This window comes from Homo sapiens, chromosome 1 (genome assembly GCF_000001405.40).
Source record: "Homo sapiens chromosome 1, GRCh38.p14 Primary Assembly".
In the NCBI taxonomy this organism is placed as follows: domain Eukaryota; kingdom Metazoa; phylum Chordata; class Mammalia; order Primates; family Hominidae; genus Homo; species Homo sapiens.
This window is the reverse complement of record NC_000001.11, coordinates 176,463,724-176,486,333: the sequence shown is the minus strand read 5'-3', so window position 1 is coordinate 176,486,333 and position 22,610 is coordinate 176,463,724. Positions and strand designations below refer to the sequence as shown.

General features: G+C 40.5%; 1 protein-coding gene across 6 annotated transcripts in view; it reads right to left on the bottom strand.

The window, feature by feature from the left end:
- Positions 1-22,610, bottom strand: part of PAPPA2 (pappalysin 2) — a 382,427-nt gene that overhangs the window by 359,268 nt on the left and 549 nt on the right. The window lies entirely within an intron of this gene.

The window sequence follows — 22,610 nt, the reverse complement described above, 5'->3', positions numbered from 1 at the left end:
AGTAAAGAAGACATTAATTCTTTGATTTTTTAAAAGTATTTTTGAGCACCCATGAAGGAGATCGAGATATGCCACTCCAAAACATGCTACTTTGGCATAAGGATTATTTTGAACTAAAGGCAATTGATAAACAAGAGATGCAAGAAAAGTTCTCTATCTTTCCTTTATCTGCCTAAAAGCAGGGCATAAATTTCCCTTTGAGGAGGGTACCTCACGGTACAAGGAAGAAGAGACTGATTCATCACTGGAGACAGGGAGTCACACCAAGATGAATTTATATAAACAAACCTTACTAAAATAACCCTTAACTTCCATTAGTTTCTTCCATATATTTCCTAGTCATTTTCCCACAATTTATCACCCCTAGAAGCCCAAATCCCCTTTCCTTTGTGTAGTCACTCCTCCACAATTTATTGCCCTTTGTACATAAGCCTCCAAGTCTAAATGCTTCTTTGAGTTTTCACTTCTTTTCTGTGAAATTTCATGTATATAAAAAGATTAACATCAATGAAAGCTGTATGCCTTTCCTCTTGTTAATCTGTCTTTTGTCAGTTTAATTTTCAAATTCCCAATCACTGAATTTAAGAAGATAGAGGATAAATTTTTCCTCCCCCCGCCTACTATATGACAGGCATTAAGAATGCATCAGTGGCAAAATAAACAAAAATCCTGCTCTCTTGCAGCTTATATCTATGTATTTCAGTAGGGTGGTAGGAAATAGATAATAAACTATATATATATAATGCCAGGAGTGGTAAGTGCTATGAAGAAAATAAAGTCGGTGAACAATTCTTTAAAAATATATATGTCCAAATATGGTTATAAGAAAATGCTTCCCTGAGTAGGTGATATACAAGCAAATAATTGAAAGAGTGGGAGAGTGAATCATGTGGCTTCTAGGCACAGGGAAGCATAGGTGCAAAGATCTGAAAAGTTATATGGCTGGAGCATTTGAGAAATAGCAAGAAGTCCAGCATGGCTAGAATGGAGTGACACAGAAGAAAAAAGATGAGATCAGAGACGTAATGGGGAGACACATCATTAGGGACTTGAAAGCCATTATTAATAAGGACTTTTACTCTGAGTGAGATGGAAATCACTGGAGGGCTTTAAGCAGAAGACTGATGTAATCTATCTTATATTTTTACAAGGACACTTTAGCTGCCTTGCTGATGCTGAGATTGTGGTAATAAAAAGGCCAGAAGATTTCTGTTTCCCAGTCCAGCATGTGGGAAGCTTGGAAGTTGTCACTCTGTACTAACAAGTAAAAAGTGGAACAACTTGAAAAATCAACAACTCTTTTTACTTCTAAGAGAAGTGGAGCCACAGAGCAAACCATTGCCCCTTAAATTGGAGAGACTGATAGGTGAATATAGAGACTCATAACTTGCCAGAGCAGAAACCGCCATAGAAACTGGTGCTGGGGCAGGAAAGAAGTGAAAACTCAAAAAGCACAGTCTAAAGAGACAGATCAGGAATAAAAACCACACTCAGATATGGCAGAGTTGGAATTACCAGACTGGGAATTTAATACAATTATGATTAATAAGCTAAAGGTTCTAATGGATAAAACAGATGACATGCAAGAACAGACAGGTAATGTAGAGATGTAGAGAGATGAAAGTTTTAAGAAACGACCAAGAAGAAATGCTAGAAATCAAAAACACTAAGGGAAATGAAGAATGCCTTTGAAGGGCTTAACAGTAGACTAGACATGGCTGAGGAAAGAATCCCCGAGCTTGATGAAATATCAATAGAAATTTCTGAACTGCAAAGCAAACCGAAAAATGGCTGAAAATAAAACCTGAACAGACTATCAAAGAACTGTAGGACAACTACAAAAAGTGTAACATATGCATAATGAAAATATCCAGAGAAGTGAAAGAGAAAGGAGCAGAAAACATATTTGAAAGACTGACTGGTAATTTCCCCAAAATTAGTGTCACACATTAAACGACAGATCCAGGAAGCTCAGAGAATAGTAAGAAGGACAAATGCCAGAAAAAAACTACACATACACATATATATTATTTTCAAACTGCAGAATATCAAAGGCAAAGAAAAGTCCTGAAAGAATCCAGAGGGGGAAAAACATGTTACCTACAAAAGAGCAAAGATAGAAACTGCATCTGACATGTCCTCAGAAACTATGCACATAGGAGGAGAACGGATTGAAATTAAAGTGTTGAGACAAAAGTGCCAAAGCAGGAAATCTAGTCAGGAGACAATGCCAGTGTCTAGGTGAGAGATAAAGATGGGTTGGACCAGGGAGGTAGTAGTGGATGTGGTCCAATTCTGGGTATATTCTGTATGTAGAACCAATACAATTTGCTTTCAGGTTAAATATGAAATATTAAAGAAAGGTTTACTTCACTGTTTTGGCCTGAGCAACTGCAAAGGTAGAGTTGCTATTTACTGAAGACTAGGTTCACAGGGTGGAAAGCCCTCCCCTCAGGAGCCATTGTGGACGAGTTGCAGCTTCTCCCCATTCCCTCTATGACATCTCTTCACCACTGGCAATCTTCCCTTTCTTGAGGCAACCACGCCCCATTAAAAGATGTCTGAGGCTGGGTGTGGTGGCTCATGCCTGTAATCCCAGCACTTTGGGAGGCCTAGGTGGGTGGATCACAAGGTCAGGAGTTTGAGACCAGCCTGGCCAATATAGTGAAACCCCATCTCTACTAAAAATACAAAAATTAGCTGGGCGTGGTGGCAGGCACATGTGTTCCCAGCTACTCAGGAGGCTGAGACAGGAGAATCGCTTGAACCCGGGAAGCGGAGATTGCAGTGAGCCAAAATCACACCACTGCACTCCAGCCTGGGAGACAGAGCCAGACTTCATCTCAAAAAAAAAAAAAAAAAAAAAAAAAAAAGATGTCTGAGTTTCACCTAAGGGAGGAGAAGGGCTCCTTCCTTTTTTCAGTTTCCCTAGGCCCTAGTAGTAGCTGCTTTTTGCATTTAGTACTTCTATATCCCTCAAAGTCCTTTTTTACCTCTTCTCTTAACCAATACATTAGCAAAACAATAGGCTAGCATAAAACAATTCTTTGTATTGTATTTGTTTCTGTTCAGATCACTAGTGTCGCTTCTGATTGGGCGCTGACTGATACAGTCACAGAGAGGGAAAAAGAACCAGCAAAGGAGCAGTCAGCAAAGGACAAAGACAGGTAGGGGACCTGGAATCCCAAGTATAGAAAACATGGCAAGACTAGAGAAGTGATCCAGTATGTCCAATGGCACTGATGATCATGTACGAGGAGGAATGAGAATTCACCATGCTCTTCAGCCACATGGAGGACATTTGGTAACCTTGAAAAGGGCATCCGTCACCTTTACCATGCAGCATCTTGCCCTCAATTCATGGTACTAGAGCTCTGATTTTCCTTAGGATGCCCCCATCCTCCTCCCTCATTACATGTAGTTGGGTAGGTTTGAACCCAGAGCAGGGCATGTGACCTAAGCCTGGTCAGAGTGCCACACTTCTTGGTTACTGTGATCAGTTCAGGGATGATGAGCACATAACCCAAGTTGGTCCAATAAGATTCAAACCAAAGACTTTTACTGGAGCATCTGGGAAAGAGGAATTATTTCCCTACTGAACATCAAGCTGAGAAGATAGGCTATAAGCCCAGAGATACTAGCAGTCATCTTGCCACCAAAAAGGTAGAGTCTGCCTGAAAATAAAGCCAACACAGAGAAAACAGAGCCAGGAAAAAAATAACAAATTCTTATGGTATTTCAGTGATCCTTGTATTTAGCTGAGCCTGAAGCTGTCCCTGGGCTTTTTGGTTACATTAAAAACCTCATTTTTCCTGTTCATGCCCGTTGGAATTTAATGATCTTCACTTACAACCAAAAAGTTAAGAGCAAAATAGTAACAATGTTCAATTAGCGACTATAGAAGTAAAAACAATTGATGAGTTTAGTGACTCGCCCAAAGTATCCATGATGAAGTTGAATCTATAAGACAGGTCTCCTAACTCTAAATAAACAGTACTTGCCACTATATCAAACTCTCCTCTAATAAAAGCAGCTGCATTCATTATGACTGACATTTACACAGAACACCTAAAGACTGCCATTATTCGGCTTAGGGAAGAAAAGGATTTGGACTAATAGATTTCAGTATGATTGGGAGACTTTTCTGAATTGCGTTGAATGGCTGTCCTCTTTTACCTCTATGCAGTGAGATTTTTTCACAGTGAAGAAAAGAGAATTTCAGAGTGGTGTGGCATTGTGATCAAAGGAATTAGAAAAACTCTTTGTTTTGGTATTAATTAGGAAATGTGTACAGATAGAACCTTTTAAATGCATCTATTCTTGTCCGGCTGTGGTGGTTCACACCTATAATCCCAGCACTTTGAGAGGCTGAGGCAGGTGGATCACTTGAGGTCAGGAGTTGGAGACCAGCCTGGCCAACATGGTGAAACCAGATCTCTACTAAAAAAAAAAAATACAAAGTTTAGCCAGGCATAGTGGTGCACACCTGTAGTCCCAGCTACTCAGGAGGCTGAGGCAGGAGAATTGCTTAAACCTGGGAGGTGGAGAGTGCAGTGAGCCGAGATCGCGGCACTGCACTCCAGCCTAGGTGACAGGGTGAGACTCTATCTCAAAAACAAACAAAGAAAACAAAACAATAAAAGCATCTATTCTTGTCCAAGATCAGAGGAGTATAAGTCATAGCCTTGATTTTTATCTTAGCCCCAAATGCTAGGATTAAAACTGATTTGCCCCTTTGATGAAGTCTGCAGCAGAGAATAAGCTAATTTGACAACTGGTCACCTCAGCAATGGGTAGCTGAGGAAATCTACTTCCTGAGTCAGTCACAAGTGCATGTTAAACCACTGTTTTTCTCCTGGAAACCTTGCCCTGGCCACACTAGATGTCCCTGGTTGGATATAAATTTAGATCTTTGTGAGGTAGACAGACTATTCCGTCTCAAAGCTGCCACACGGCATCACTCCAGAGCCATGTCGAAGGCCCCGGCATAGGAGGACAGCACGATGGCCCTGTTGCCAAAAAGGTGCTTTGTCTGTGTGTGTGTGTGTGTGTGTGTGTGTGTGTGTGTGTGTGTGTGTGTGCTTTAAAATCTCAGCGCTTAAATCAACCAATGAAATATTCATGGAATCTAAAGTAGTGGGCAAACTAACGGCTTCCTTATGGGAATATCAATATTCTTGGAGCCAGTCTTAATCCAATATTCAGAAAGCTTCTCTTCCCTCTTCGTCACTTTACGTTCAAACTTATTTTCAGAAACCCTCCCCTCTTTCACAATCCTGCTCCATTAATAGAGTGGGTGGTGCAGGTAGGCCAAGGGCAGAACGAGGTGACAAGAGGAAAGCGCTGTGGGGTGGAGGTGCAGGCCTAGGAGAGAGGAGTACTCCCAGATGCAGTCACAGGTACGCCCAGGAGAGGCGTTGAAGGTGGCTGCTGTGGGAAGGTGGAGAATATGTGCACAGTCGGGTGACTGGCTTTAGTGTTTTCGTCTGGTCTGGTCTATGATTCCAGGTATGAACGTAGGATTTTCCTTGCTGGCAAGATGGCAAGAGCCTGAGGGAGGGGTGGGGAGAGGGAGAAGGGGTGGTCCTAACTAGTGTCATGGAAGGAAATTACTGCTGGAGAAAGAAAATATTTTCCTTCATCCATTCTCTGTGAAATGTGTATGCCCCTCAAGAGTGTAGAAAGAGGTACAGGATGAGCATCTGTAAGGGCAGACCTTGCCCAGCAGACAGCTCCCGGTGCTCATGATGTCCCCTGCCTATCCCCTTCCCCACCTGGCCCTTCCAGCCTTCCCGCCTCCATGCCCCACCACCTACTTGCCTTCCCTTAAGGTGGGGTGGAATTCTACATTCTCCTTTCCCTGCTTAGCCTCTCAGTTCGGACTGCCAAAAATGGGGCCAGTTAGGATGGTGGTTTCCTGATGTGGGTACCTGTCCCTCAGGACTGGAATCAGGCCTGCCAGCTCATTCCAGGTCAGCCTGCCCAAAAGCCATGGAGCGGCCCTCTCCCCAGGACTGCTCTGTGTTACTGAGACTTATCCAGCGCTGCCCTTTCGGGTGCCCCAGGAGCTGGGGAGGCATAGAGACTTCTTGGAGACTGTTGCACAGAGCAATACTGCCAAGCCAAGCTGGGCACGGAGGAGGCCCAGTTACAGGTCGAGAGAGGTAGGTGTGGACTGCAGGACATGGGGAGGAGGCTGCTCTCCACACAGACCCCTCCCCCACCAGCCGGCTTCTCTCCAGCAGCAGCTGGTGAGCACCAGTGTTCAACACTAGGCTACAGAGGTTGTCAGGCAGCTGGAAATGCCACTCTGTGGCCAGAGGGAGGGGGAAAGGGGCTCTTATCCTCGGACACTTCCCTGTGTATTTCTCTTCTACAGGCTAAAACTTCAAATCCAAGCTTGTGAATATAATTCTTTTCTAACTTTCTATGCTTTCAGATTGATGTGCTATAAATGTGGGGAATACAACAAGGACAGTCAATGTTACAAATCAAGTTAGTGTATTTTACCTTGCATGCTGAGGCTTCCTGACTGCAGTGCTTGGAGAAGGGAATTTCCTAAATTCCATGCAGAAAGCAAGGTATTCAAACTTTTTCTATAGAAGCTTCAAACTTGTTAAGTACTGAATATTGTAGATGACTGACAAGAAGAAAAGTGCAAGGAATTAACAGACCATGAGAGGACCCTCCTTTATTCATTACATTTCTCTAAGCCAGTCCCCTTAAAATTACCCAGCAAATACCTACAAGAATGCCCAAGGGTACACATAGCCTCTTGCCCTGGAATCACACTGTCTCCTCCCTAAACCTCTCCCTTCCCAAGGCAGTCCTCTAAGTCAGGGGGTGCAATTTCCTAGGGATGCTTGCCTGCTAGCCTGGTGAGCAGAGAGTCTGCTATACAATTTTCTTCACTGCTGTGATGCTGTGAAGGCCAAAGAAGAATCACCACTGCCTTTTTTTAATGATCTGGTGAGTCCTTAAGAGATGCTTCTCCCACCTTCCATCCACCAAAACCTCCACAAGAAGAACAACAAGCCAAAAACCAGTTAGATCCAAAAGAGATGGTTCTAACGCTGCTGCCTTACACTCTCTCAGAATCTGGCCCCGTGCTTTAATTCGTTTACTAGTTGTGTGGCCTTGGGAAAATTATTTCACCTCTCAGTGCCTTAGTTTCCTCATCTTCAAAATGGGGATAATAGTATCTACCTGACAGGTTGCTGTGATCATTAAATGAGTTAACTTATTATTATTGGTGGGTCTAAAATGTTTTTTGAGTGAAAAAATCCTTGTCAAGTCCTTGTGGAGAAAATATCCTCATCGATGGATTAATGTAAAGATACTAAAAGAGCCAGTCTGCCCTCAAGGCCCTGTATAACTTAGATCTTATCTCCATCCAACTTGATCCAGCCCCACCAAAGGGTCATCAAAGTTTAACTCCCGTGACATAAATAGGTGACTGTGATATAAATATGTGTACTTATAATGTGGTCTGCATACATGAATATAAATGAGGACTTGGTCCTCATCCAAGACCAGCAGGAGAGACTTCAACAATGGTTGAGCGAGATTACTCCTTATCTTTGAACTCAAGAGCAATGAACTGGGTTCAAAGGAGAGGACTGGCCAGTCTCCCTGGCCATTCTCTGTTTTGCCTAATCAATGTCTCAAGAACATTGTGGCACAATACTCATGGTTAAGACACATTCTCAAACCCAACTGAGATAAAAATGAGTCCACTGTTTGAACATACATCTGGGATCTGATGTGATGCCAGTAACTATCATGAGGCTGTGATTGTTATTCTGCAATGCACCCTGCCAAATACTTCATGTTCTTTCATTCAGTCCTCATGACATCAGTAGGTAGATTCTATTTTTCTCCCCATTTAACTGATGAGGCAACTGAAACAAGGAGAGGTTAAGTAACTTGCCCAGGGGCACACAACTAACAAGTAGCAGAGCCAGGAACCAAATTGAGGTTTATCCAACTCCTTCTGAGTCTATGATCTTAGCCATTACCCTTTACTCCAAATTACATTCAAGTAATTTTTAAAAGGAATTTTTTATATCAGAATATATTCCATTGGAATGGTTTTGTGAGATCAATCTGGATTCTTAACAAAGATTCCTCAATGTCTTCTTATTGAAAATAAAGCACCTTTGATGGCTCCTGACCCATAGTCTGGCACAAGCTTCTTATTCTGCAGTCTTTTTAATAGCAGAAGCTACTCAAAATATTCAGCTATAGTTCCTACGCAAGGTGATCAGGCCAGCAGTTTCCAGACCTGTTACATTAGGTATTGCCTAGATGGTCTAACAGCTACTTATTGAACCTCCATAATTGTCCCATGGCTTTAAGAACAGATAACCCAGCTGTTAACTTGGAAATAGTTTAACTTCTCTGGTGTTCATCCTCTCCTCACCCATACTTGAGACAGAGGTGAGTCTGGGATCCTTATAGCAATGTTTTTCAAATAATGGGTTGAGCCCCTTTAGTGGGTCATAAAAGTAATTTTGTATGTCTAGGCCAGCATATTTTATTTTATTTTATTTTATTTATTTTTTAATGTTTTTTATTTATTTATTTTTTGAGATGGAGTCTCACTCTGTCACCCAGGCTGGAGTGCAGTGGCGCAATCTCGGCTCACTGCAACTTCCACCTCCCAGGTTCAAGTGATTCTCCTGCCTCAGCCTCCTGAGTAGCTGGGACTACAGGCACACACCACCACTCCCAGCTAATTTTTGTATTTTTAGTAGAGATGGAGTTTCACCATGTTGGCCAGGATGATCTCGATCTCCTGACCTCATGATCTGCCCACCTCGGCCTCCCAAAGTGCTGGGATTACAGGCGTGAGCCACTGCACCCAACCATAACTTTTAATTAAACTAAATAGTATAGTTTAGAGAACGGAGTATATCACATGTATTTAGAGTAAGTAGTGTTGCATGAAACTTATTTTAGGTGTGCATGTGTGTAATAATGGATCACAATAAAAAATGCATGTTTTATTGTTGATCATGAGTAACTGTTTGAAAGTCCTGGTTTTACAATTTAAGCCTCATATCCCCCAATTCTTGAGCCTTCAAAGGAAAGTATGAGCATGCAGCAAGGTCACAAGAAAGGATATGCAATGAGACTATGATCCTGAGAGGAAGTGGGGTGGTAGATTTTAATGGTAGAAATAAAGGAATAAAAAACTGTCTTTTTCATGCAGAACTGATTTCTCTTCCTGAGAGCAGTTAGATGAGATTGAAAGGCTTCCCTTGAAAAGCTAAATGGGATGAGAAAAGTGCCCAGGAAACATAGAGATTGCTTAAGGATGACCGTGGCTCATGTAAAAGTTCCTGTAAAACCATTTAGAGGATTTTCGAGGTCCCGGTGTCTCACCAACATGGCATCAGGTCCAAGAGCACGTGACTCCATCTTTCCCCAGGCAAATATCCAAGTGCAAACAGAAGGACATAGACTATTGATTTCAAACTGATTTCACATTAGAATCTTTTCTAAAAATACAAATTTCAGGGCATCCTCCCTATACATACAGAATCATAACCTCTAAAGAAGAACCCAGGAATCTGTCATTGTTTAAATCTTTGTAAATGATGCTGATAAAATCATCCTAGTCATGGTTCCAAAACTGGCAGTTGAGCCAAGAGATCAATTGAAATGAAAAGGCTTCTTGAAGTGAAGGTCCAAAGTGCTAGCTTTGCATTTTGGCAATCTAGAGCAATTGTATTAGTGGGCCAGAGTTCTTGAGTCTAGGCAGGCGTGCCAGACAGATTCTTTATACTCTCCTGCTACTGACCTGGCCCACTCAGACTCCATCCCTGACACTGTCCCATTACAATAAAACAAGTTGCACAGAAATAGGACTGAAAATATCAGTAACCATCTGTTTTCCTTATCATGGTGGGGACATGAGCTTCAGCTTTTGGATTCAGGACCACAGGTATGGCAGAGAACAAAGTATATTTAGTGAACCATAAACACTGGGATTCCTCTGTGTGCCAGACATTACTCTAGATGCAAGGTCTCTGTTCTCCTGGAACACGCATTCCAGACAAGAAACCCAGACGCTTGCTGATATTTTTTTGAACCACATTTTACATCACTAAGGACTCAGACATTGGAGTATTGGAAGGAGAGAGACAGGGGCTTTCTTGAGACTGGATTTTCAATATTTTCCCTCTTCTAACTCTTGTAAAAGGATGCTGTGTGGTAACCAGAAAAGATATCAGGGGCATGGAAAATGATCCAGCTTTATAAAATAGTCTTTGCTCCAAAATTTACAAAAACCTTTTAAAGTCACAGCACCAAATAACTACAGTAACTCAGAAAAGTCAGTGCCCTACTAATATTGAAAAATTGCACACTGCCTGCAAGCCCAGTAATTATTATTGGTTTCTGTTTCTCATTTTCATCATAGGTATTAGTTAGGTGTCTCAATGGAGATAATTCAGCTTCTTCCCTCTAACATTTCACCACTCCAATTTTTCAGACTTTCTAAATTAAGTGGACCAATGGCCATGGCTCTTTCCCTCCTCCCTAAACCACTTCCCTCTCCCATCCTCCAAAAAACAAAGCAAAAGAACACCCTAAAATTGCTAATCTCTATTTAAAGGAATATAAAATGTTGGGTTATTTTCTTGGCCCAGTCAAGATATTACTGGATGACATTTTTCAATTATTTAACCTGTCTGGTGGGATTTTTAGAAAGTAAATATGTCTGGCATTTTTTTTCCAGTTCCCATCCTGGAGGACTCCATAAGGACAAAAACATCTGTAGCCAGAGTTATTCCCAGGTATCAGGAGGACAAAGTGAAAGCACATATGGTTCTCAGTGCTTACTAAAGGAGGTAGCCCTCTCTCCCCAGTGTAGACCTTCCTCCTGTAAGGATGCACTGAGGCCAGTAACAACTTATGTTGGGCCAAGAGCAGAGAATCTGGGCTTTTTCTTTTCAGTAACACTCCATTAAAAACTCCTCACCTATGCTAGGCTTTTGTTTATTTGTAAGCCAAGTCATACTCATACACACACATATGTAATCATCCATTCATTTCACAAATATTTATTGACCACCTACTCTGTGCCAGCCAGGAGCAAATGACAGTGTGGCTTTCTCACCATGGGAAACCTATTGCACTTGTTTTAGATGAGCCACGTACCCCAGGAACAGTTTTACAGCATAGCATTTGTGTACTGTGCTTGCTGTGTAAATTCATTCTCTGTTGATTATCAATATAAAAAATATAAAAAACACACACACAAAAAACAAAATTTCTCTTAATACCACCAACCAACAATGACCACCACTTATATTTGATTGTATTTTATTCTATTTTTGTATTTAGTTTTAATTTTAGTTGCTTTATAAAGATGTATTCACACTGTACATACAATTTTATATGTTGCTTGTTTTTCCTACTTATCAACACAACATATGACTTTTCCCAGTAATAATTTCTGGGACTTGAAGACACAGGTATTTCTAGAGCCATGACAAGTCACCAAATAGTTCCTATGGCTTCTTCATTCACAATTCAGGTTTGAAAACAATCATATTTTCTGGTAGCCTCTTGCTCACATTTTTATACTATACAAATTTAAAGAGTTGACAATTTTAGCTTTTATATGAAGCTATGTAATAATTATGGAACTTGTAGTAAGTGTGTGAGTCTTGGATAGGAACTAAATGTCCTCATTTCCCTCTAATCCCTGAAGTCTCCTGCTGGGCATCCTTTTAAATTTATCTGGATACCACCGTTTCCTGCTGGACTCTGTAGTCTCCAAGTGGGCACTGCCATCACCACCATTGTGCCCAAAATATCTGATAGAGTATGGCAGAGACCACGGAATCACCAAAACATCCAGCTCATTTCCTACATTTCCCTGCCCTCTTGCCGTTAGGCAGCCATATGACCAGCGCTGGTCAATGAGCTATGGACGGGAAGGATGTGTGTCACTTCCAGGCCAGGTCAATGTGGAACTCTTGAGGTGTCTCTCTGATCAAGAAGACTATGTGTTCCAGATAGTAATAATCAAAAAATAATACAGCCTTCATCAACCTAGGAGCCCAGTGACTGAGGTAATAAAGCCCACACCAACTTACCTTGGACATGTAAAGTAAGTAAAAAATAAGTCACTGGGAATTGACACTTGTTACTGCATCATAACATGACCTATTCTTACTACTAGACACAGCTTTTAGGGGAATCATTTAAAAGAATGAACTAAAACATTTTTATCTATAGCCAATGCCCTCTATTGAAATCAAATATGAGGTAAACAGAAGTAATACATACTTTACTGTTTTCAGAATTCTAGCCACCTGTTCCAAAAATTCCATCAAATATCAGAAGTCTATGGTTGATACAGCTTAGGCTCACTGGATGTTTCACTTACTTACCACTCTGATCCTAAGTATGACACATATTCAGAAGTAGGTAAAACACAATGAGATTAGAAAATGGGCAAAAGACTGGAACAGAAACCTCACCAAAGAAGATAGAGGAGATGGTAAATAAGCATACGAAAAGACGTTCAACATCATATATCATTCAGGAATTACAAATTAAAACAGCAATGAGATACCACTACATACCTATTCAAATGACTAAAATCCAAAACACTGATAATGCCAAATGCTGGTGAGGATGAGGAGCAATAGAGGCACTCACTCACTGATGGTAGGAATACAAGATGATACAGCCACTTTGGAAAACATTTTGGAAGTTTCTAACAAAACTAAACATACCCTTACCATACAATCCAGCAATTACATTTTTTTGGTATTTACCCAAGTGACTGTAAAACTTACATCTACACAAAAATGGGCACACAGATGCTTATAGCAGCTTTATTCACAATTGCCAAAATTTTGCAGCAACCAAGATATCTCTCAGTAAGTGAAATAAACTATGATAAATCCAGACAAGAGGATATTATTCAGTACTAAAAAAAGAAATGAGATACCAAGCCATAAAAGACATGAAAGAAACTTAAATGCCTGTTACTAAGTGAAAGAAGCCAATCCGAAAAGGCTGTATATTGTATGATCCCAATTATATGACATTCTAGAAAAGGCAAAACTATACAGTAAAAAGATAAGTGGTTGTCAGGGGTTAGGACAGGGGTTAGAAGGAGGGAAGGATGAATAGGTGGAGCATAGAGAATTTTTAAGGCAGTGAAATTATTCTGTAGGATATTATAATTGTGGATACATATCATTATGAATTTCAAAATCTATAGAATGTAAGCACCAAAAGTGAACCTTAATATAAACTATGGACTTTGGGTGATAATGATGTGTCATTGTAGGCTCATCAATTGTAACAAATGTTTTGCTCTGGGGTGAAATGCTGACAGTAAGAGAATTGGCACATAAGTGGGGAAAGGGAGTATACAGGAAATCTCTGTGCCTTGTGCTCAATTTTGCTATTAATGTAAAATACCTCTAGAAAATAAAGTTTATTTGAAATTTTTGAAACAAAAATCACAAAAAGTAGAGACAAATGCAGACAGAAAATTTAAAAATGTAACCCTTAGTAATCATATTGGTGGTAGTACTACTAATATTAATGTTCTGAAACTGTTATGCTTGTAAAAACCTATCACACAAAAGTTGTACTGGAAGTTTCAAAATGAGCTCATAAGGTTATTTATTTTTTATCTAAAAATATATATTTTGTAGCTCTGCCCACTGAAAAGACCTGGAAACAATGATCAACACAATCGGGATAAACATACTTTGTGCCTAGATTACGGTTTGTAAGTACCATTTCCCATTAAAAGAAACCAGGGATTCTTGAAGAAATGGCAGATTCCATGTTTGGGGCAGAAAATATGTAAGATGAGCCTAGACTGACTTGTCATATGAGATAGCAAAGAAGCTATTAAAGACTACTAGGATCATGTGAAAAGGATTCAAATGTCAATGAAAGAAGCTCTCATTGGCCAAAGATGGGACAAATTGAGCTATATAAAGATAATGATTACAATGGCTTGAAACCCACCAAATATGTTGAATACATATAGGAACACATGGATACACGAGTTCATAATAATTAGATAAAAATTAATCTTTGGAGGGTAACAGGAAACATTCAATACCTTGAAAACAATTGAATAAAAGAATCAAGCATTTATTGGCCTTTCCTATATGAATTGTTAACACTGATAAATCAAATAATAGATGAAGAGATGAGTCTTTTTACAAAAATATTCCAACAAATAAGTAGAAAAGAAATAATATGCAATAATATTCTGCAGCCCACAATAAATTAATGGATCTAGGCATTGAGCAATCAATATCTGCCAAGTCACAAAGAGAGACAACCAGACGTTACATACTTTCTAATGTGCCACCCATATCCTTGCCAAAGAGATAGACTCTGAGTTTCACCAAGCCTCCAAATCCAGCTGCCAGTTCGCAGGAAATACAGAGGCTGGAGTAAATGCTGAATCTCATCAGGAGTGTCCAATCAGCAACATCCGGCCTACAAGAAACTCTACAGGTCAAATGCCCCGAGTAACAAATACATTGTACAGAAAAGAGAAGTTTGGAAGGAAAACTGTAGGTTTAAAGAGATTGAAAGGATATATCACAAGATTTTTAAATAGATAAAACTAAACTATAGTGTTTAAGGATGTCATTTGGGTGGTAAAACCACAACTAAAGTTGTGGTGAAAGAAAAGTGATTTTTGTGGAAGTCAGTATATTACTTTCATGGGGAGGGAGGCAGAAATTGCAACTGGGACAAAATACATGGAGGGCTTCTGATTCTGCTGACCAAGTTCTGTTTGTTTATCTGGTTGATGGTTAACCGAGTGCTTGCCTTATAACAATCCATTAAGCTCTACACTTGTTTTGTTTGGTTTTCTATATTTGTGTTTTATTTTATAATTTTTTTAAAAAGGCTTTAAACTTTAAAAACACACAGACACACACAGTGTGTTGGGGTTTCTGGATAAGCTTCACAGAGGTAGTATAACCTGAATTCAGTCTTAAATGGCAAAGCAAATGAGAGTTGGGAATGAAAATTTAATTGACTTAGAGGGAAAGGAGTCCCTCTGAACCCTGCATGAGCTACTCATCCTTCCGGTGGCAGCACCTCAAATCCCTCAGGCCCAAGACAGTCAAGCTCAGAATCCACCGTAATTTTCCTCCACAGAGCTTTGCTATTTTTTCACTTCTCCCATATGGGTTCTTGTTGTACCAAGTAACAAACACTTCCCTTCCTGTGTTCTTCTTGATTTAAGGCATGAATCCCACTCAAAGAGGCATATCACAGGCTATCACCTACTATCTGTAAAAGCTAGAGAAGACAAACCCTGGGTCCCAGAATCAATGGCTCCTTCACATTCTGAGGATGTGCTATTTGACCCGAGAAGCCACTGGGGACTTGGAACTAAAGCATGGGGCCAGCTTTTGCTCTCTTTCAACCTAAAACTTTAAAAAAAAAAATCCACTGACCCAAAGCAGTGGTCCCCAGATTAGAAATCAGCCCCAGCCACGATTAGAAGAGACGCCACTTGGAAAAGGCTGGGACAAAGCTGATAAGCACAAAGTATTCTTGGAATTGTTGTGTTGTTTTTAAAATGATAGTGTTTTTATTTCACATTTTTGTTGCTTCTTGTCCGTTTTCACTGGGAGTTGAGTATTTCTCTGAATTTTCTTTTTTGTTGCCCTCAGGGAGATGGGGCCTTTCTTCAGGAAAGCATTCTTTCCTCCAATTAGTTCTATTTTCCTTCTCTAGGAGTGTTCCATGCAGCCTAGAGTCAGCCTAATTTCTGGCTGGTGTCTACTGGCCTGATCATTCCTCTCCCCTGGATTGAGAACATGTCCTTCTGATCTGCCTTTCCAGCTTTTAGGTCTAGAAAGGCTAGGTGAAAAATGTGGATGGATGTGGAGTCATCTTCACCAGGAACTAAGGGAAGGAGACTGTTTTACACAACTGTCCATTGAGGTGAAGACAGAGGTGAGAATTCTTACCTTTTTGTCAATGTGGCCTCTGAAAAGCAGAGAAATAGCTGAAAATAGATGCCCACCAGGGGAAAAAGAGAGTTAGCCCAAGTTGCTTATTCTCAATGTCCAGAGTTCTTGGCTTAATTCTGTGATTGTGTGAGTGAGCCCCACCAGTAAACCCTGGACCTTCACCACTGTGAACCTTCTTGCTTGGAGATGGAGGCAGGTGATTTTTATTGACATATTAGTGTGAATTTCTGTTATTATTTGCATTTGGAGACTTAACTGAACATTTTGTTTCCTGTTACAGAAATTCCATCATGTTTTCTGGACAGTATTTTGGAAGGCAAAGTCCCTTCCTCGACCCCATAAAAATCCCTACCAAGTTGTTGGCAGCTTCCTCTGCAGAGGCATGTAAGGAGTATCAACATGGAATGGGAACCAATGGCCAGCAGTACACATTTCAGCCCACAATACACATTTCACACGTTAGAGTGAGCAAAGAGCTCAGGGAACCACGTGCTTGTGGCCCTGGAATGTGTACTGTGGGCTGTGGTGAAGTGTCTGACGCATCCCAGATGACAACTGCTGTGGACCCCTAAGGAGGGAGCAGGGGTGTGAAATGTCTCAGACCTTCCTGTGTCTGGGAGGTGAGAGCAGAGTCTTGCTATAAAACAATCCAGAACTTTGGCCCAGTGGATGTTATCAAAAGCAGTCACTGAGGCCAGTTGCCAGTAAATACCACAGTCAGGTTGCTTTGCCTTTTCTAGTGGGAGCTGTTCTCCCCAGCTGGATGAAAAGTATGCAACTGCTCACTTAATTCTGAAGGACGACAAGCACTTCCCAAGGCATCACCCAAGCTGCGGTCCCCATTTCTTCCCATGGTGCTGTTAATCCTGGGCCGTTTTCCATGTTCCACTCACAGGCATGTTGGTGGGGTACTAGAGGGGTGTGTGTGTTATAGCGTGTGCCTGGATTTCATGTTCAGTGGCACCCCACCCACTCCCTCTCCCAGAAACAGAAGAGAAAGCAAGGTGAGGGAGAGAAGAAGGGACTAGTGCATTTAATAGGTACCACAGAGTGATCAGAAACTGTTTTTTCTGGCAGAAAAGTATTTTTCCAACAATTAGGCTTAAGAGAAAGCCACAAAGACCTGAAGAAGGAAAAGTATTTTCTTACACAAAAGACTTGGGCTTATCAAGGAAATTGAAGCAGCAAAAAATGTTAGTTATTGAGACCAATGCTCTTCCTTTCACGTTGGCTGCCACCATGCAAGCGACTGAGTGTATGAAAGCATTGCAAATATTTGGAGGCAGGATAGGATGGCAGTTAGCAACAGAGCTTGAAGTTGGAAATTCCAGGCTTGAATCCTGATTCTTCCACCTACCAGCTCTTACAAGTTACTAACATCTGGTGAGTGTTTAATGAAATGATGCATTTGAATTGCCAAAAACAGTACCAGACAGGTAGTATATGCTCCATAAACATAGTATTCTTATTTATTGAGACAAAACTTTTTAAAGGATATATGTCCCAAAGAACAAAGAGAAATCTTAGCATGGATCAACATTCCTCTGTCAGGGAAACTCTTCTTGAGAAAGGGCACACCAGGAAGCAAGAGGGGGAAAGGAGATAGGTACCTAAGTGGCCAAGTCAACCCCTGTGACCAATGACTAGCAGCTTTTAAAATCAATGTGTGCCTTCACATGAAAGATGAGGGGGCATGAGGGTACACAGAGAGGGCCCTGTGCAGAAGATGCTGCACTCACACCTGCCTCTGAACCCCCTGATTCTTTCCATGCCCACCTCACATGCAGGAGGGCTAGAGCTGATCTAGGTGAGTGAACCTCCCTGACCACTTTGCCAGCACTTAGCTAGGAGGAATAGAGAAGAGATGGGACCATATACCTGGAAAGGTATCCATAAAGAGTTGGCAATGTGAATTTGCTCAGTTGATTGATGTGGCTGCCTTCCAAACTGATACCCCCTCCCTAGTTTTGGGTGGACCTAATAAGCAGATTTGCTTTTCCTGGTGCTGGTTAAACACCCAAATGCTCTTCCCACATCAACAAAGCCCTTAACTGAGTACAAAGGAAAAACTCAGTCTGAAGCTCTCCCATGAAAAGGATTTTGAGGGAGGAATGTCAGAGCCCAGAGACATCCAGGATGGAAGAATCTCAGAGGCCCGTGTTAAACATCACCTTCCTCTCTGGTGCTTACTCACATAGTCCAAATGTGAATTCAGCAAAACTAAGCTACTTGAATCCACAAACCTTGAGATAAATGGAGTTTTGAAATAGTGCTCCTTTTTGGATGGTCCCTGTCTATTGCATTTTGTCCACTTTATAATGGTCACCCTTGATCTCACACCCTTTACTGCCTCTTACTCTCCCCAGCCAGCCCCTCTTAGGTTTCTGCACACAAATGCTATTCTTCATCTATTTATCAAATCCACTGTACAGAGAGTGTCTTGATTTAATCTGCATTTTCAGCACCTAACACAGTTCCTGGTACATTGTAGTGGCTCCACAAATACTCATCAAATGGATTCGTGAAGTACCAATTATGTGTCTAGCATCTCAGTTATGAGACCCAATTGAGAAAGTGGTTTGTACTGAAGTGCCAAACCTAGCTCCCCAAATTAGTGACCTTATAAACTGACAGATAGGAAGCATAACTTGGGACCATTTGTGAAACAGAGTGAAGTTAGCTGGCTCCACTGTGAATTGAACCCATCACCTTATAGTCACTAGCACCTGGCGCTGTCAACTGAATAAATGAGGCATCCACTGCCCCTGATTCAACAAACAGCTGAGGTGACAAGACTCTCTTCCTTGCCCCAGAACCCATCCTTGTTACATAGAGTCTTCCTAATGTGAAAGCAGCTTCTCAAAGTTCAGATGGGGAAGCTGAAGCTGACCTCCCACAAGGCAAGTGCTATTCTCTGTTTCCAACAAATGCAACATGCCAACACTTCTAACAATGAGAATAAAAACTCAGAGAAAAACAACTGAAAAGAAAAGGAGGAGAAAAGCTCCTCAGCTTGCTTGAACTTACAATCATGTGCCACATAACGTTTCTGTCAACAACGGACTGCATAAACAACAGTGGTCCCATAAGATTATAATATTATATTTTTACTATTCTTTTTCTATGTTTGGAGGTGTTTAGATACACAAATGTCATTGTGTTGCAACTGCCACAGTATTCAGTACAGTAACATGTTATACAGGTTTGTAGGCTCGGTAGGCTATGCCATAAAGCCTAGGTATATAGTAGACTATACAGTGTAGGTTTGTGTAACTGCACCCTGTGATGTTCACATGACCATGAAATCACCTAACGATGCATTTCTCAGAACATATTTCCATCATTAAGCGATACATGACTGTTTCGCAGAAGGGTTGGACCTCCCATATGGTCTCAGAGCTACAAAATACAATTTAGGATTTCTATGCAAAACAGGTGAGCCTAACACCAGAATTTCACTGTGGAGTCCAGAGGGAAGTTGCCCTTGGCTCTGGAAACTCTTTTTCTCCCTCCACGTTGCAGGGAATTTTTGGCTTTCCAAGATGACAAATCCCCTTTTGCACTGATTTGGCCTTCGGTCTGTGCTGCGACAGATACACAGGGCCACCCCTAGGTGGGGTTCATAGCCCATGGCAAACCACATTGTTGTTCTCTGCACCTAGAAAGCCTTCATACCTCTCTCTGCTGCACAGACTCTGATTCATTCAAGGCTCACTCTCTCCATGAGACCTTCCCTGATTTCTAAAGCACTCATCAGATTCCTTCTTTTCTGACTCCCTGTAATATGTAAGTATGGTTCCTCTTTATCATACCATTTGAAACTTAATCTCTTTTCATCTCACATAATATACTAATATTAATATTTAATATGATAACTTACTTGACCCAGGGAGGCCTGAATGTACCTGGAGGTAACTACTCATAAATTAGAATTGGAAGGACCCTAGCCAATCAGATGATGGTGCTTGAAATTTTATCATTAGAATTATAGAAAGAGAATCAAAAATGATTGGACATTACTCACTCAGTCCAACCTCTTGCCTAGCACAAGAATCCTTCCACAGTAGCTTGGCCGATGTTCATTTGGCCTTTGCAGCAATTTTTCCAATTACAGGAATTTCATTTTCTTTGCAATAATTCATTCCCATATAGGACCTCATTAAGCTTCTATATGAAGTTTTTATATAGAAAATAATTCTTCAAGTTTGAAGAATTATTAAAGGTAATACCCTTCAGCAGAGATAACATGTTAAACACGCATGTATTATCTGTCACTTAGACCTAATTCTGCATGTTGCCTAATACATTTTTTAAAACCTAAGACATTTAATAGATAACTAATTTATAGATAACTAAGAAAAAGTGGAGCACTCTGATAGGAGAATGAACAAAAAGTCTGATAAGACAACTTATAAAAAAAATGATATACAGGAACAGAAAACCAGATACCACATGTTCTCGCAAAAGGAAGCTAAATGATGAGAACACATGACACATAGAGGGGAACAACACACACTGGGGCCTACCGGAAGGTGGAGAGTGGCAGGAGGGAGAGGATCAGGAAAAATAACTAATGGGTACTAGGCTTAATACCTGTGTGATGAAATAACCTATGCAAAAAAAAACCCATGACACAAGTTTACCTATATAACAAACCTGCACATGTACTCCTGAACTTAAAAGTTAAAAAAAAAAAAAAAGAATGGCCTGGGTCAGGATAGGCATGAGGTTACAGTAGAAAAGAAACAATAAAAAAGGTAACTTTGTATTAAATATTGAAGTATGAATTAAATTTCAGAGTTTTTGCAGCCTTTGAAGAAAAAACAGGTGATATATGTGCCCAATAAATATAGGAAAAAATGCGTCTAATCTAACAAGTAATCAAATAAACGTTGTCACCTGTCAACTTGGACAACCACTTTGAAAAATAAAAAATAGCCAGTATAGGGAGACCTGTGAAATAGGGTCTCCCATTCACTACTGGTGAGAGTATAAGTTGTTGCAGTCTTCTGGAAATGATTTGCATGTGTGTCATGCCTCTCCATACACTTTTAACTAGTCATCTTGCTTTTTGAAGTGTATCCTAAGAAAATAACCAAAGAAGCAGACAAAGATTTATATATAGGGATGCTCATCCAAGTAGCATTTACCACAGCAAAAAGTTGAAAACAACTTAGATGTACCCCAAAAAATGGGAAGGAAGAAAATATATCATGGCACATCCACATGTCAGAATGCAACAAACACAGAACACCATGTTTTGGAAATTATTTTATGTCTTGGGAAATAGCAAATATGCAATTTTAAGTGAAAATGCAAGATTATAAAATTATACGTGTATTAGAATCCTACTTTTATTTAAAAATATAAATATGAATAATTCAAAGTGAAAACACCTATCCAGCAATAACCACTATCCAGCCACCTATCCGGTGATAACCACTGCATATGGATATTGGGATTATGGATTGTTTTATAGTTTCTTCTTCAAATTTTTCTGCATAGTTCTAACTTTCTACAGTAACTTCTATTATTTTTATAATTAAAAAACTATTTATATGATTTGGAATGCTTTACAGTGAACTAGTTAAGAAGAAACTCTTCAAACTCCCAGGTAGCTAAGGCAGTGTTTAGCAGATAACTATGCGGAGAGCCATGTCCAGCACCTGGGGTATTTCCTAAGCAAAGAGCTGGTGGCAGCTAGAGAGAGTTTGGGAAAAAGCTATATCTTTTCATCTTTGTATCCTCAACACCCAATATCGTACCTCATCTGGACCAGAAACATAATTTACAAGGCCTGGTGCAAAATAAAAATTCAGAACTTCTTGTTTGAGAAATATTACAAATTTCAAGATGTTAACAGTGCATTGAACCAAGCACAGGGCCCTCCTAAGTGTAGGGCCCTGTGTGACTACAGAGATCCCACACCCATGAAGTGGGCCATACATTGTAGGTGCTCAATAAATACTTGTTGAAAGGAAAGAAAGAATGAGTAGATAGAATAAATACAAACAGACTTCTCAACTGTGCCCAATGGCAAAACTAGACTCAGCAAGATTTGAAATTATGGGAGTGTTCTGTACTCCTAGAGGTTAAATTTTTAAAAGAAGAAGAAGAAATTATGGGAGAGTATGAGGTCATAGGCATAAGAAATCACTGTTCCAGAATTTTCCCAGAGAGTTTATATTCAAACTACACTGTCCTGTTGTCCTCAAAAATGTATCTGTTAGATCATAGTCCACAGTTTCTATTTTTGATCTGGACAACATGATCAGTGCATCTATAGAAGAAATAAATATTATCACTTCTGTCTGTTCCAATAAGATATTTGGCTCAATTATATCCTCCCTCACTGCTTTTGCCTCAACCTACTTTTCCTCTCATAACCCTAAGCTTAGCAATAGAACTCTCCTTACCCATCCTTTCCTTCCTGCACCCCACACACACTCATCCTCAGCACTCCCTCTGCCTTTAATGCCAGCCAAGCAGACACTGAACATGAGAAGGTGTCTGCAGAGGATGTGAATAACCCTCATCCTAATCCCCTCCATGGTCTCCCTGCACAGGCCTGGATGAGGCCCAGGAGAACTGGAGTTGCCAGCTCACAGAAGCAGT